Source organism: Homo sapiens, chromosome 3, assembly GCF_000001405.40.
Source record: "Homo sapiens chromosome 3, GRCh38.p14 Primary Assembly".
Classification (NCBI taxonomy): domain Eukaryota; kingdom Metazoa; phylum Chordata; class Mammalia; order Primates; family Hominidae; genus Homo; species Homo sapiens.
Window position 1 is genome coordinate 83953107 of NC_000003.12, and position 14045 is coordinate 83967151.

At 32.5% G+C, this 14045-nt stretch overlaps 1 long non-coding RNA gene across 7 annotated transcripts in view; it reads left to right on the plus strand.

The window, feature by feature from the left end:
* Positions 1-543: 543 nt before the first annotated feature.
* Positions 544-14045, plus strand: part of LOC105377188 (uncharacterized) — a 98853-nt gene continuing 85351 nt past the window's right edge. For 5 of the 7 annotated variants that reach the window (XR_007096266.1, XR_001740800.2, XR_001740799.2 and 2 more), the window contains exon 1: positions 1107-1315. This is a non-coding gene — a long non-coding RNA (uncharacterized LOC105377188). Of the gene's footprint in view, positions 594-1106; positions 1316-14045 lie in introns of those variants that run through there. The other 2 variants (XR_007096264.1, XR_007096263.1) reach the window with 1 other exon arrangement.

Consider the following 14045-nt stretch of genomic DNA (forward strand, 5'->3'; position numbering starts at 1 on the left):
TGGTTATAAACATCTGTGTTTTCTGGCAGTGGCCCAAAAATGCCAAGGGAGGTATACAAAATGCTGAGTAGATATTATGATTATATTAATACTATTTTGTATCTGTTTGATTTTATTCAAAAATAACATGCTAGAATTTTTATGTTTATTGGCATTCTTTGTTTCTTTAATTTTTTGTCTACGTATTCAACTATTGCACAGTTATCCATTCCTGATCTCATAACTTTTAATCATTGTTAGACACAGAGTAATGCAGTATGATGATAATTTCCTAACTTTAAATTTCCTGGCTTACTGCATTTCCTTTTATGTTTAAGAACAATAGTATTTTCCTTAATTCAATGCTTCCATTTAAAGAGTTAGAAAAACAGACATTTGTAATCTAGTCTTTTGAGGAACTTCGAACTCAACCTACTTCAAAAATAGCCACTGACTGAGGTCTGTGTGGAGGACCTAATTGGTATGAGTGAAGCACAACAGGAGATAGCAGCTAAATTTGTATGCAAGAGTCAGGATAAGAAGTATGACACTCACAGTGAAAGCACAAAACATCAAGCCAACAGTTCAGGACTAGTCATTCAAATGGACTAAAGGTCAGTTCCTTTTGTATACCTTTCTTACAGAGTTACTTAGAGGTGGGAGATGGAAGAAATGAATTTTTCATGAAATATACTGCCTGAGGAAAAGAAAAAAATAATGTCTATTCCATTGTGTATACCCAGAGCAAAGTGTAAGGCTCGTGGAGTACAAAATGTCATAGGCAAAGCTTGACTCTTTTTTCCATCATACAGTTGGGTAAATGAAGCTTGGCAGTGACTAATAATGCATCAATTTCTCGTGATCATAAATAAACCTGGATTATAAAGAAACATGAGAAAACATCTATCTAAGCCCAGGAAATGATTCAGAATTCCCTGTATGAAGTAAAATCTAGGATGTTTTAATACTCAAGGAAATAACCAGATGTCTGTTTTAATGCTTAGAAAGTTTATAATTTTCTAATTTCTTCTATAAGATAGATAATTAAATTTGAATTTATAAGATACAAATAGAAGATAATTCAAAGAAGCTAATCAATAAATGTGTTCCTCATTTGCTGACCCTGCTTTAAGCAATTTCTGTGAGTCTGATTGTAATTTCTGTGTTCCTCTTAGGTGGGGGAGAAAAAATAAGAGTGGATAAAAGAAAGAAAGAAAACAGAGAAAGGTGGGAAAAAAAAAACAAAGGAAGGAAGAGAGAAAAGAGAATGAGAGGAAGAGAAGGAAGGGGAAAAACAAGATTGACTTTACAGTATGAGATATACTATTATATATTGGTAAGCAATTGGAAAAATAAATATATGTAAATATAATGGATTAATTATATTTTAAACAATTACATTTAAATGTTACATATGTTTAAAATTTTAGAATTATTAATCTGACATAACTGTATATTTCTAGGTGTTATTTAAATAAACATAAATTTGTTCCAATTAACTTTTTGATAGATTAATCTACATTGACTCCTATCTTACATACCCATTTAACATTTTTTAGTTTTTTCTTAAATCCTAATGTAAATGAACTCTTCTGTGAGTTGCTAGATTTTCTCAAATACTAAACATTTTTATTCCTTTTTCTTCTTTCTTTCTATCTCTTCCCTCTTCTGTCCTTCTTACTTTGTAAATAATTTTTCTTCTTCATTCCTTTTTATTCTTTCACTTAATTATTTTTCTGTCTTTCTTATTTTCTTTCTTTCTTCTGATTACATGCAAAAGTGTACTTCTAGATCACCAGGCAAGATTTCAAATTTTCCAATTGGAGATCCTGGTAGAATTTTTGCTTACAAGTTTTGTAAGCAATAATCTATATTAACAAAATGAAAAAGAGGTAAAATGATTAAAATGTCTACATAATTGCAGATAATTAAATACATAAATGAAGTTAATAGAAAAATAATTTCAAATAAAGAGCAGGTAAATTAAACATCACCTGTTTTTTACTAATTGCTGTTGATTTTATTACCTAAAAAAGATGAGGAGCTGTAAACTTTGTTATTTTAGGGAGAACAATTGCCATGAATATAGGACACAGCTCTTTCATCTGAATTTGAATACTTATTTATTTTTCTTTTTAAATTAGAGACACTGTCTTGCTATGTTTCCCAGGCTGGACTCAAACTCCTGGGCTCAGGCTCCTGTCTTAGACTCTGTAGTAGCTAGGACTACAGGTGTTCACCACTGTACCCAGATTGTGGATTTAAATCTTATTTGAAGGAATTGCTTTAAGGATATAAGGTTAGGTTCTGTCCCAGGTAAATTCGACAATCTTACCATGAAAACAACAAACAAATATCCTGAGTTGGAGGTAGTGAAAAAGTTATGACCACCAAATATCAAATTATTATAATTAAAACAGGAACATGATATCAGATTACAGCAAATTTGTTTCACTGTCAACCTTGTACCAGCCAAGAATGCAAAGGTACAGTTTTTGCATATTCTACAGCACCTGAGCCAGAAATTCTCCTAAGAGGTTTCTATACATATATTCAGTCCATTTAATTGTAAAGAATGAAATCTGAAGAAAATTACCTCAGTCTTAGAGTATAATTTACTTTGCACATATAGAGAAGTTATAAAGTCCCTGAATTTATGACATCGAAGGCGAGAAGCTCATTTTTACCACCATTTCCCATTTCAAAATAGGTAATTACAATCGAAGTCCCCACTTTCCACTTTGTGTAATGTATATATCTCACCCATTCTGCCTTCTAGCTGATGGATCTATAGGGAACACATTATGAAATATAAAATTGGATGCAGTTTTCCTATGAAGTTATAATTTTACTTCTATATAGAAAAAATAAATATGTGTGTGGTACTGTTATCCCACTTGTGCTGAGCAACTAATGTTAAAAATCTCGAGCATACAAAATTGGTTAAATCAGTGATTTGCTAGTTTTCTTTTAACGTTTCTCTATGTCTAAAGTACTTTTTGTACTAGCTATATTCTTGATAATTTAAAAGTAGATATTAGGACTCTTCTAAAAAATATTGTCTTTTAAGAGTTTCTGTGGGTTAGAAACTTTTTTCTTGCTTTCTTATAATTCTTGAAAAAACATTAAACAATTTATCTCATAGAGTACTTTTATGAAACTAAAATTTTATGATTTTTATTTTTAAGGAAATGATTAACTTTATTGGTTAGACTACCATATTTCCTCTATAAGTCTATTACCTACATGAATACAAGGATCCTGCCTCCTTCTCTCTATCTCAGATCCACTGACAGCACCTCGCATAGAGTAGGGGCATCCATTCATAGAACACAAGAATACAGTGGTACTCTACCTGTTTATATGTTTTCCTTTGTACCCTCAACAGCGAATAAGAATACAACTATTTAGCGCACTTAATTTTGTGAGTGAGTTCATGAAATGCAACCTTTCATTCCCTTGTGTGTCTGTGTTGCTGGGAGACCTAGGTTATTGCCTACAATTTGTTTTTGTTCTGAATAAAGCTGCAGAAACCAAATCCAACAACTTTTGGCAAGGAAGCTTCCTTTTATCATGCACCTCCCTCCCTTGGGACTTGGAGAGTCTTCTCTTCTTGGAAGGCCGATGCATTTGCAATTCTCTACAACTACTGTAGTCCCATGAGAAATGCTATTTTCCCAAATTTCAACAAAAAATTTGGATTGACATTTTATTTATTGACATTGACATTATTTTACACTTCTTCCAACTCTCCAGAAAATAAGAACCACTTGATGGTAGCAGTCCCACTATCACTGCTGTTCTGTAAATAACTCTTTACAATAATTAACACAACTTAATCTGACTTTATCTGACATATCTTATTTTTAGCTTTCTACTATAATATTTATTTTGGATTTATCTGAGTATTTATTTGAAAAAAAATCCTCAGTATGAAACATGGCTTAATGATTCCAGATATCTCATCATCAAAACTAACTCATGGAACTTTATTCTTAACCTTTCAATATTTCACAGTTTTATTATAAAAGTAATAGTTCTGCTATTACAAGTAATGGTACTTTTTATTAATAAATTACTCTACACATGTGCTGCTAAATTTCTGCAACCCTAATTTATTTAGAACCTCTTTTTTCTTTCTCTCATGCTACAGAGATAAAAAAAAAAGTTATTGATATGTGGGATTTCCCTAGTTAATACTTGAAACATTTTGGAAACATTTTTAAAAAAATTATAGCATCATACAGTATAATTTCTTTACTAATGTACATATATCCCCAATCCCTACACCAGGAATTGGCAAATGTTTTCTGTCAAGGGCTAGATAGTAAATATTTTAGACTTGCAGGACATACAATCTCTGCCACAACTACAACTCAGCCTTTGGAGCCTGGAAACAGCTACAAACTGTACATAAATGATCATGGTTGTTTACTACTATTTCTGGACACTTGTATTAGTTTGCTATTACTGCCATAACAAAATACCATATACTGTGTGGTTTAAACACAGAAATTTATTGTCTCACAGTTTTGGAGGCTAGAAGTCCAAAATAAAGGCGTCAGCAGCAGGGTGGTTTCTTCTGAGGCTTCTCTCCTTGGCTGTCAGGTGTGACTGCTTTTACTCTATGTCCTCATATGGTCTTTCTTTTATGTCCACAGATGTGTGGTGGCATCTCTTTGTATGTCCTAATTTTTTATTATAAAGACATCAGTCAGATTGGATTAGGGCCCATTCTAAGGCTTCATTTTAACTTAATCACCTTTGAAAGGCCCTTTCTCCAAATACAAGCACACTCTATGGTACGGGGTTTAGAGCTTCAACACATACCTTATGGAGAAACAACATTCAGCTCCGAACAACACTGATACTTGTTACCACTTAATTTGATGCAGACATATACCAATTAAATGCAAACCTTCTACTTATGAAGATATTCATATGATATTCCAGAATTACAAAGCTGTATCTACTTTAAATATTTACTACTTTTTATATAGAATGATATACTTTTCAAGACATTGGCCATAACATTCTTTCCATTTATATATATATATATTTATCATGTTGTGCTATAAGGATTCAACAATAATTAAAATATGATATCAGCTTTCTAAGTAGGAGGAACCGCCACAAACGTATGTACTTTAATATCATAAGTGCAAATATAGATCTATAAAATGTTAAGATGCACATCAGAAACACATAAACTGTAGGTCAGATCTGTGGAAAGTTGACTGAAGAAGTAACATTTGAGAAAAACTTTAAAATAAAAAGTATTCTGGTTCATCATGACAAAATGTACATACACGTTCATGTCTCTTGCCATTAACATTTCATGAGAAATTAAAAATAAAAAAATGTGATTAAACCAGTATTGAAAATAAAAGAAGCATGCTATAACTCCAAGGCAAAAAATATTCTCTGGAAGATACAATGCAAATGCCTGAGAAATCCACGACGCCAAGCCAGGAAAGCCCTGAAAAATGTAATGGCAAACTAAAAAACATTGTTGAAAGAAATGAAAGAAGACATAAATAAAAAAAAAAGACATCCCATATTCAAAAATCATGACAGACTTTATTCTTTAGATGACAATATTCTCCAAATTGATCTATAAATTCAACAAAATCCCTGTCAAAATCCTAGCTAGACTTTTTTTTTGGCAGAAATTGTTAAGCTGATCTGAAAATACGTAGGTACAATGGATTCAAAATAGTCAAAGAAATCTTGAAAAAGAACAATGTTAGAAACTGACAATTTCCAATTCCAAAATTTATCACAAAGCTACTGTTATCAACACAACATGATATTGGAATAAAGGTAGATGTATAGATCAATGGAATGAAATTGAGATCCCAGAAATTAATTAATCATACCATTAATTAATTAGATTAGCAATTAATTAATTTCAGTAACCTAATTAATTAGATTAATGGTTAATTGATTTTCACAAAGGTGCCAAGATAATCCAATGAAAAAGGAATGATGCATGGACACCTGAATAACCATGTGCAACACAATAATGTTGACATGTCCCTTATATCCTGTAAAAAATTAATTCTAAATGGATCATCGATATAATTATAAGAACTAAAACTGTAAAACTCTTGGAAGAATAAATAGGAGTAAATCATTATGATTTTGGTTTAGGGTATATTTTATACTACACCAAAAGCATAAATGACAATGGGTAAACAGATCATTGTACTTCATCAACATTTTTTTTTGAAATTGATAAATTTTACTGCTGAGTGATGGAAAGAGACAAAAATGACAGAAACATAATTCATAGCTGCATTCCTTACTGTAAAGCCAAGCACGAATAGCTCTATTGCTTAGAATCATTGCATTTAAACATAGCAAGATCACATCTTTCATAGTCTTTTTATGGATGATAATAAGGCCACCATCAGGAAAGTGAAAGACTATGCATGCAATGCGAGAACACATTTGCAAATAGTATATCAGATAAGGAACTTGTGCCCAGAATATATAAAGAATTCTTAAAACTCAATATTAAAAATTAAAAATAAATTTGCCTGATTTCAAAGGGAGCAAGAATGCAAAGGATGTATTTCAACAGCTTTATTGATATATAATTACATGCTATAAAATTAACCCAAAGTATAAAACTCAGTGGTTTTTAATATATACACAGATACGTGCAAGCATTACACAATTTTATAACATTTTCATCACCTCAAAATAAAACCCTGTAACCTTAGCTTTTAGCTCCTAATCCTCTATGTATGTATATTCTTAAGAAACAAAAGTATGTATATTCTCAAGAATATACATATTCCTCAAAGTATGTATGTTCTTAAGAAACAAAAAACATAAGTTGATCTTAGTAATTTTACTATGTTATTCAAATTTTGAATTTATTCAGATATATAAATATATATGTATGTATATATACAAATAATATTAAACTGATATATATAAATAACAAAACATAACATCCAAATGGCATTACTTGTAATCAATATTTTGAAATATAATAACATAAAATTCTTAAAAAATGAACGAACTTTGTTATGTTGATTGGAAATGTAAACATAAAGGCAGAATTATTTTAACTAAAATATATTTCCTAGAGCTGTTCATTGATATGTGCAAGAACAATGGTACCTCAACAGCAATGAACAAACTGGGACCTAGTTGATTTTTTAAAATCTAATTTCAAATTTATTTTAGATTTAGGGAGTACACGTGAAGATTTGTTACATGAATGTATGGCATGATGTTGAGGTTTGGGGTACAGATTCTGTCATCCAGGTAGAGAGCATAATACCTAATAAGTAGTTTTTCAATCTACGTCCCTCTCCCTCTCTCCCTCCTCTAGTATTCTGCTGTGGCTATTGTTACCATCTTTATGTCCATGTGTACTCACTGTTTAGCTCCCACTTGTAAGTCAGAACATGTGGTATTTGGTTTTCTATTGCTGAGTTTGATTTGATTTGACTCTCGGCCTGAACATCATTAATGTATACCAAGGCTACTGATTTTTCTATGTTGATTTTGTATCCTGAAACATTACTGAAGTCATTTATGTTTTAGGAGCTTTTTGGTGGAGTTTTTAGAGTTTTATGAGTATAGGATCATATTGTCAATGAATAGAGAAAATGTTATTTCAGTAGTTTTATATTTGATAATGTGAATACAGGATAATGTACCTTTTAAAAATAGACACATGCTGAAGTATTAGTAAAAAATAGACACATGCTGAAGTATTATGATGTTAGTAATATTTTTAAAATCATTTTCTAACGAGTTCCAAATAAATAGTAAGTTACATATGTAATTGTTATGCTATTTATCTCTGTACATGTATGTATATATTTGTATCTAACACTACTACAGATAAAAATACATAAACATGATAAATGTTAATAATTATTGAATATTACATTTATTATATTCTTTCCATGATTCTTGCTTGTTATTTTGCATAATAAATATTTTTGAGCAAATATTGGCAATTTAGTAAGTCATAAGAGTAGCTGTACAATTTTTTAAAATACAAATGAAACAGAGCACTTATTTATATTGCAGTGAATCTAGCATTAATAATAAAAAGAGTAGAAATTTATTAATTAAAATACAAGTTTTATATAAGAGATGCTTTCAACAGAGAAAAATTTTAAAGTGTTATTAAGGTTTTTCAAAGTATGGATATTCACTGGAAATATTTCCTACTCCAAGAGTCAACTGAGGCAGTAAACAGAGTAAGTGACTACATAAGGAAGTAGGAAGTTAGATCAAATTATATTTCTGACAACATGGCATGAAAATGCTTGTAAAAGACTGTGGCCACTTGCCTTTTCTTTCCACCTTTGTTCTACTATTTTTAAACTGTAGATCTTATCATCTTTTCTGAAAAATATAATATTAAAATGTTAAATCTTATTTGTTGCTTTAAAAAGTAAATGGGCTAAGTTGTTTTTTAAAGAGAGACAGACTGTTTTAAGAACTTCTGCACAGCAAAATAAACTATCATCAGAGTGAACAGGCAACCCACAGAATGGGATAAAAGTTTTGCAATCTATTCATCTGACAAACAGCTAATATCTAGAATCTACAAAGATCTTAATCAAATTTACAAGAAAAGAAACAAACAACCCCATCAAGAAGTGGGCAAAGGATATGAACAGACACTTCTCAAAAGATGACTTTATGCCACCAACAAACATTTGAAAAAAAAGTTCATTATCACTGATTATCAGAGAAATGCAAATCAAAACCACAATGAGATACCACCTCATGCCAGTTAGAATGGCAATCATTAAAATATCAGGAAACAACAAATGCTGGAGAGGATGTGGAGAAATAGGAACACTTTTACACTATTGGTGGGAGTGTCAATTAGTTCAACCATTGTGGAAGACAGTGTGGCGATTCCTTAAGGATCTAGAACCAGAAATACTATTTGACTCAACAATTCCATTATTGGGTATATACCCAAAGGATTATAAATCATTTTCCTATAAAGACATATGCACACCTATGTTTATTGCGGCACTGTTCACAATAGCAAAGACTTGGAACCAATCCAAATGCCCATCAATGATAGACTGGATAAAGAAAATGTAGCACATATACACCATGGAATACTATGAAGCCATAAAAAATGATGAGTTCATGTCCTTTTCAGGGACATGGATGAAGCTAGAAACCATCATTCTCAGCAAACTAACACAGGAACAGAAAACCAAACACCGCATGTTCTCATAAGTGGGAGTTGAACAATGAGAACACATGGACACCAGGAGGGGAACATCATACACTGGGGCCTGAGTGGGGGTCGGGGGCACGGGGAGGGATAACATCAGGAGAAATGCCTAATGTAGATGACGGGTTGATGGGTGCAGCAAACCACCATGGCATGTGTATACCTATGTAACAAACCTGCACGTTCTGCACCTGTATCCTAGAACTTAAAGTATAATAATAAAAAAAAGAACTTCATGAAGGCTGTTTACTAGAAATGTGTATAAACAATATGATGATGCTGCAAATAACAAAGACTCCCCTCTTTATTTGGGCTTATTAATATTCTATTGTGCATATATAGCACTATTTTTCATTCATTCATTTACTAACTGATAAATATGCAAGTTGATTCCACATCTTGGCTATTGTGAATACCAATTCAATAAACAGGGTGGGTACAGATACCTTTTTAACATACTGATATCATATTTTTTTGAATATGTGTCCTGAAATAGGATTGCTGTATCATATGGTAGTGATTCTTTGAAGTTTTTGAGGAACCTTTATACAGTTTTCCATAATGGATGTGCTAACTACCAACAGTTCACAAAGCTTCCTTTTTCTCCTTATTGTCTCCAACACATGTTATCATTTGTCTTTTTGATAACAGCAATTTTAACAAGTGGGAGGTGGTATTTCATTGCAGTTTTCACTTGCATTTCCCTGATGAATAGAAATGTTGAGCATTTATTCATATATTTGTTGGCTATTTAAATATTTTCTTTTGAGCAATGTCTATTCAGGTGTTTTGCCCATTTATTACATTTATTATTTCTATTTTTTCTATTTAGTTATTTCAGTTCCTTATATATTTCGGATATTAAATCCTTATGAGATGTATGGTTTGCAAAAATTTTCTCTCATTACATAGGAGGCTCTTTACTCTGTTAATGTTTCCTTTGCTGTCCTTCTTAGTTTGATATAATCTGATTTATCTGTATTTGTTTTTGTTGTCTGTCTTTCAGGGGTCATAGCCAAAACTTCATTGCCTAGACCAAAGCCAAGATATATGTCCCTTATGATTTTTTTCTGGTGGTTTTAGAGTTTCAGGTCTTTTGTTTAAGTCTTTAATTGTTTTTGAGTTGATTTTTTAATATGGTGTGAGATAAAGATCCATTTTTATTCTTCCCAATGTGAATATTCAGGTTTTCCAACATCATTTATTGAGGAACTTGTCCTTTCCTAATTTTATGTCCTTGTTACTTTTGCTGAAGATTGATTGACTGTAAATATTTGGATTTATTTATGACTCTCTTTATTCCATTGCCTTATATATCTGTTTTTATGCCAGTACCATGCTGCTTTGATTACTATAGCTTTGAAGTATGATTTGAAATCAGGTAGTGTGATGCCTCCAGCTTTATTCTTTTTGTCCAAAATCGTTTTGGATACTCCAGGTCTTTTGTGGTTTTGTGCAGATTTTAGAATTCTTTTTCTGTTTCTATGAAAATTTCATTGTAACTTTGTCATTGGGATTGCATTAAATATGCAGGTTGTTTTGGGTAGTATGGACATTTTATCAGTATTAATTCTTCCAATTCATGCACATGGGATGTCTTTCCATTTGTTTGTGTCTCCGTTAATTTCTTTCATCAATGATTTTCAGTTTTCATTGCACAGATGCTTCATCTCCTTGGTTAAATTTATTTCTTAAGTGTTTTGGGTTTTGTTGGTGCTATTGTAAGTAAGATTGCTTTCTTGATTTTTTGGATAGTTTGCTCTTAGTGTATAAAACTGCTATTAATTTTTATGTGTTGATTTTATGTGCTTTGTACTGAATTTATTTATTTGTTTTAATAGTTTTTTGATGGAGTCTTTAGGGTTTTCTATATATAAATTCATGTCATCTACAAACAGAGATGATTTTACTTCTCTCAAACCTGAATACTTTTTATCTCTGTTACCTACCTCCTATGGCTAGGAATTACAGTACTATATTGAATAGAAATGGCTTGAGTGGGCATCCTTGTCTTGCTTCTAATCTTAGAGTATAGGTTTATAGCTTTTCACTGTGCAATACCATATTAGCTGTTTTTTTTTATTACTATACTTTAAGTTTTAGGGTACATGTGCACAATGTGCAGGTTAGTTACATATGTATACATGTGCCATGCTGGTGTGCTGCACCCATTAACTCGTCATTTAGCATTAGGTATATCTCCTAATGCTATCCCTCCCCCCTCCCCCCACCCCACAACAGTCCCCAGAGTGTGATGTTCCCCTTCCTGTGTCCATGTGTTCTCATTGTTCAATTCCCACCTATGAGTGTGATATTCCCCTTCCTGTGTCCATGTGTTCTCATTGTTCAATTCCCACCTATGAGTGAGAACATGCAGTGTTTGGTTTTTTGTTCTTGCAATAGTTTACTGAGAATGATGATTTCCAATTTCATCCATGTCCCTACAAAGGACATGAACTCATCATTTTTTATGGCTGCATAGTATTCCATGGTGTATATGTGCCACATTTTCTTAATCCAGTCTGTCATTGTTGGACATTTGGGTTGGTTCCAAGTCTTTGCTATTGTGAATAGTGCCGCAATCAACATACGTGTGCATGTGTCTTTATAGCAGCATGATTTATAGTCCTTTGGGTATATACCCAGTAATGGGATGGCTGGGTCAAATGGTATTTCTAGTTCTAGATCCCTGAGGAATCACCACACTGACTTCCACAATGGTTGAACTAGTTGACAGTCCCACCAACAGTGTAAAAGTGTTCCTGTTTCTCCACATCCTCTCCAGCACCTGTTGTTTCCTGACTTTTTAATGATTGCCATTCTAACTGGTGTGAGATGGCATCTCATTGTGGTTTTGATTTGCATTTCTCTGATGGCCAGTGATGATGAGCATTTTCTCATGTGTCTTTTGGCTGCATAAATGTCTTCTTTTGAGAAGTGTCTGTTCATATCCTTCGCCCACTTTTTGATGGGGTTGTTTGTTTTTTTCTAGTAAATTTGTTTGAGTTCATTGTAGATTCTGGATATTAGCCCTTTGTCAGATGAGTAGGTTGTGAAAATTTTCTCCCATTTTGTGGGTTGCCTGTTCACTCTGATGGTAGTTTCTTTTGCTGTGCAGAAGCTCTTTAGTTTAATTAAATCCCATTTGTCAATTTTGGCTTTTGTTGCCACTGCTTTTGGTTTTAGACATGAAGTCCTTGCCCATGCCTGTGTCCTGAATGGTAATGCCTAGGTTTTCTTCTAGGGTTTTTATGGTTTTAGGTCTAATGTTTAAGTCTTTATCCATCTTGAATTGATTTTTGTATAAGGTGTAAGGAAGGGATCCGTTTCAGTTTTCTACACATGGCTAGCCAGTTTTCCCAGCATCATTTATTAAATAGGGAATCCTTTCCCCATTGCTTGTTTTTCGTATTAGCTGTTAACTTGTCATTTATGGCCTTTATTATATTGAGATATATTTCTTTTATATATCTAATTTGTTAAAAGTTTTTCAAATAAAAAAGTGTTGAATTTTGTCAATTCCTTTTTCTATATCTATTGAGATGATCATATGATTTGTATCCTTAATTTTATTAATGTGATGCATCACATTTATTCCATTCATATGTTTGATTACTCTTGTATACAGGAATAAATCCCACTTGATAATGGTGGATAATTATTTTAATATGTTGTTGAATGTGGTTACCAGTGTTGTGTTGAAGACTTTTGCAGCTATGTTCATCAGAAATATTAGCCTTTAATTTTTTTTTTTTTTGTAGTATCCTTTTCTGGCTTTAGAAGTAGGGTAATGCTGATAATGTAAAATGAGCTTGGAAGTACTGTCTCCTCTTCAATGTTTTGGAAATACTTAAGAAATATTAGTGTTTGTTCTTTTTTGAATGGTTGGTAGAGTTCAGCAGTGAAGCTCTCAGGTCCTGGGCTTCTGTTTTTGGCAGCTTTTGATTACCGATTCACTCTTTACTAGTTATTAGTCTGTCCAGATTTTCTAATTTTTCATGCTTCAGTCTTGGTAAGGTGTATGTTTCTAGGAATGTATCCATTTCTTCTAGGCTATCTAATTTAATGGCGTATTATATGTGTGTTGGGGAGTGTACTATATATACGGTTGTTCACCCTTATCTCCCTTATCTGCCGGGATTATGTTCCAGGCTCCTCAGTGGATGCCTGAGACTGTGGATCATATCAAACCCCATACACTATGTTTTTTTTTTTTCCTATAGAATAGTTGTCAGGGAGCATATACAGTGTGGATACACTGCATAAAGTTATCATTCATGACCCAGGAAGGAGAGGATGGGATAGTATGAGATTTTACTAGCTACTCAAATTGGTGCTCAATTTGAAACTTATAAATTGTTTATTTCTGAAAATTTTTATTTAATATTTTAAAATCATAGTTGACCACATGCCTTATTCTCTTTAGTGTTGATATACCAGAACACTTGAGGCTAGGTAAATTATAAATAAAAGGGATCTACTTGGTTCACAATTCTGGTGGCTGTAAAATCCAAGAGAATGGCACCAGTATCTGTTTTGCTTCCAATACAAGCCTCATCCTGCATCACAACATGCAAGAGAAGCAGAAGGGGAATTGTTGTGTGCAAACAGACCAAACAGGAGAGAGAGTCTGCTTCATAAAAACCCACTGTCAAGGTAACTAATTCAGTTTCAGGAGAGTGAGAACTCATTTACTACTACAAGACTGTTTTAATACCTTCATGAGGGAGGATCCCTCATGATCCAAACACCTCTTAAAGGCTGCACCACTTCCCGACACTGTTAGATTGGCAATTAAATTTCAACATGAGTTTTGGTGGGGAAAAATTGT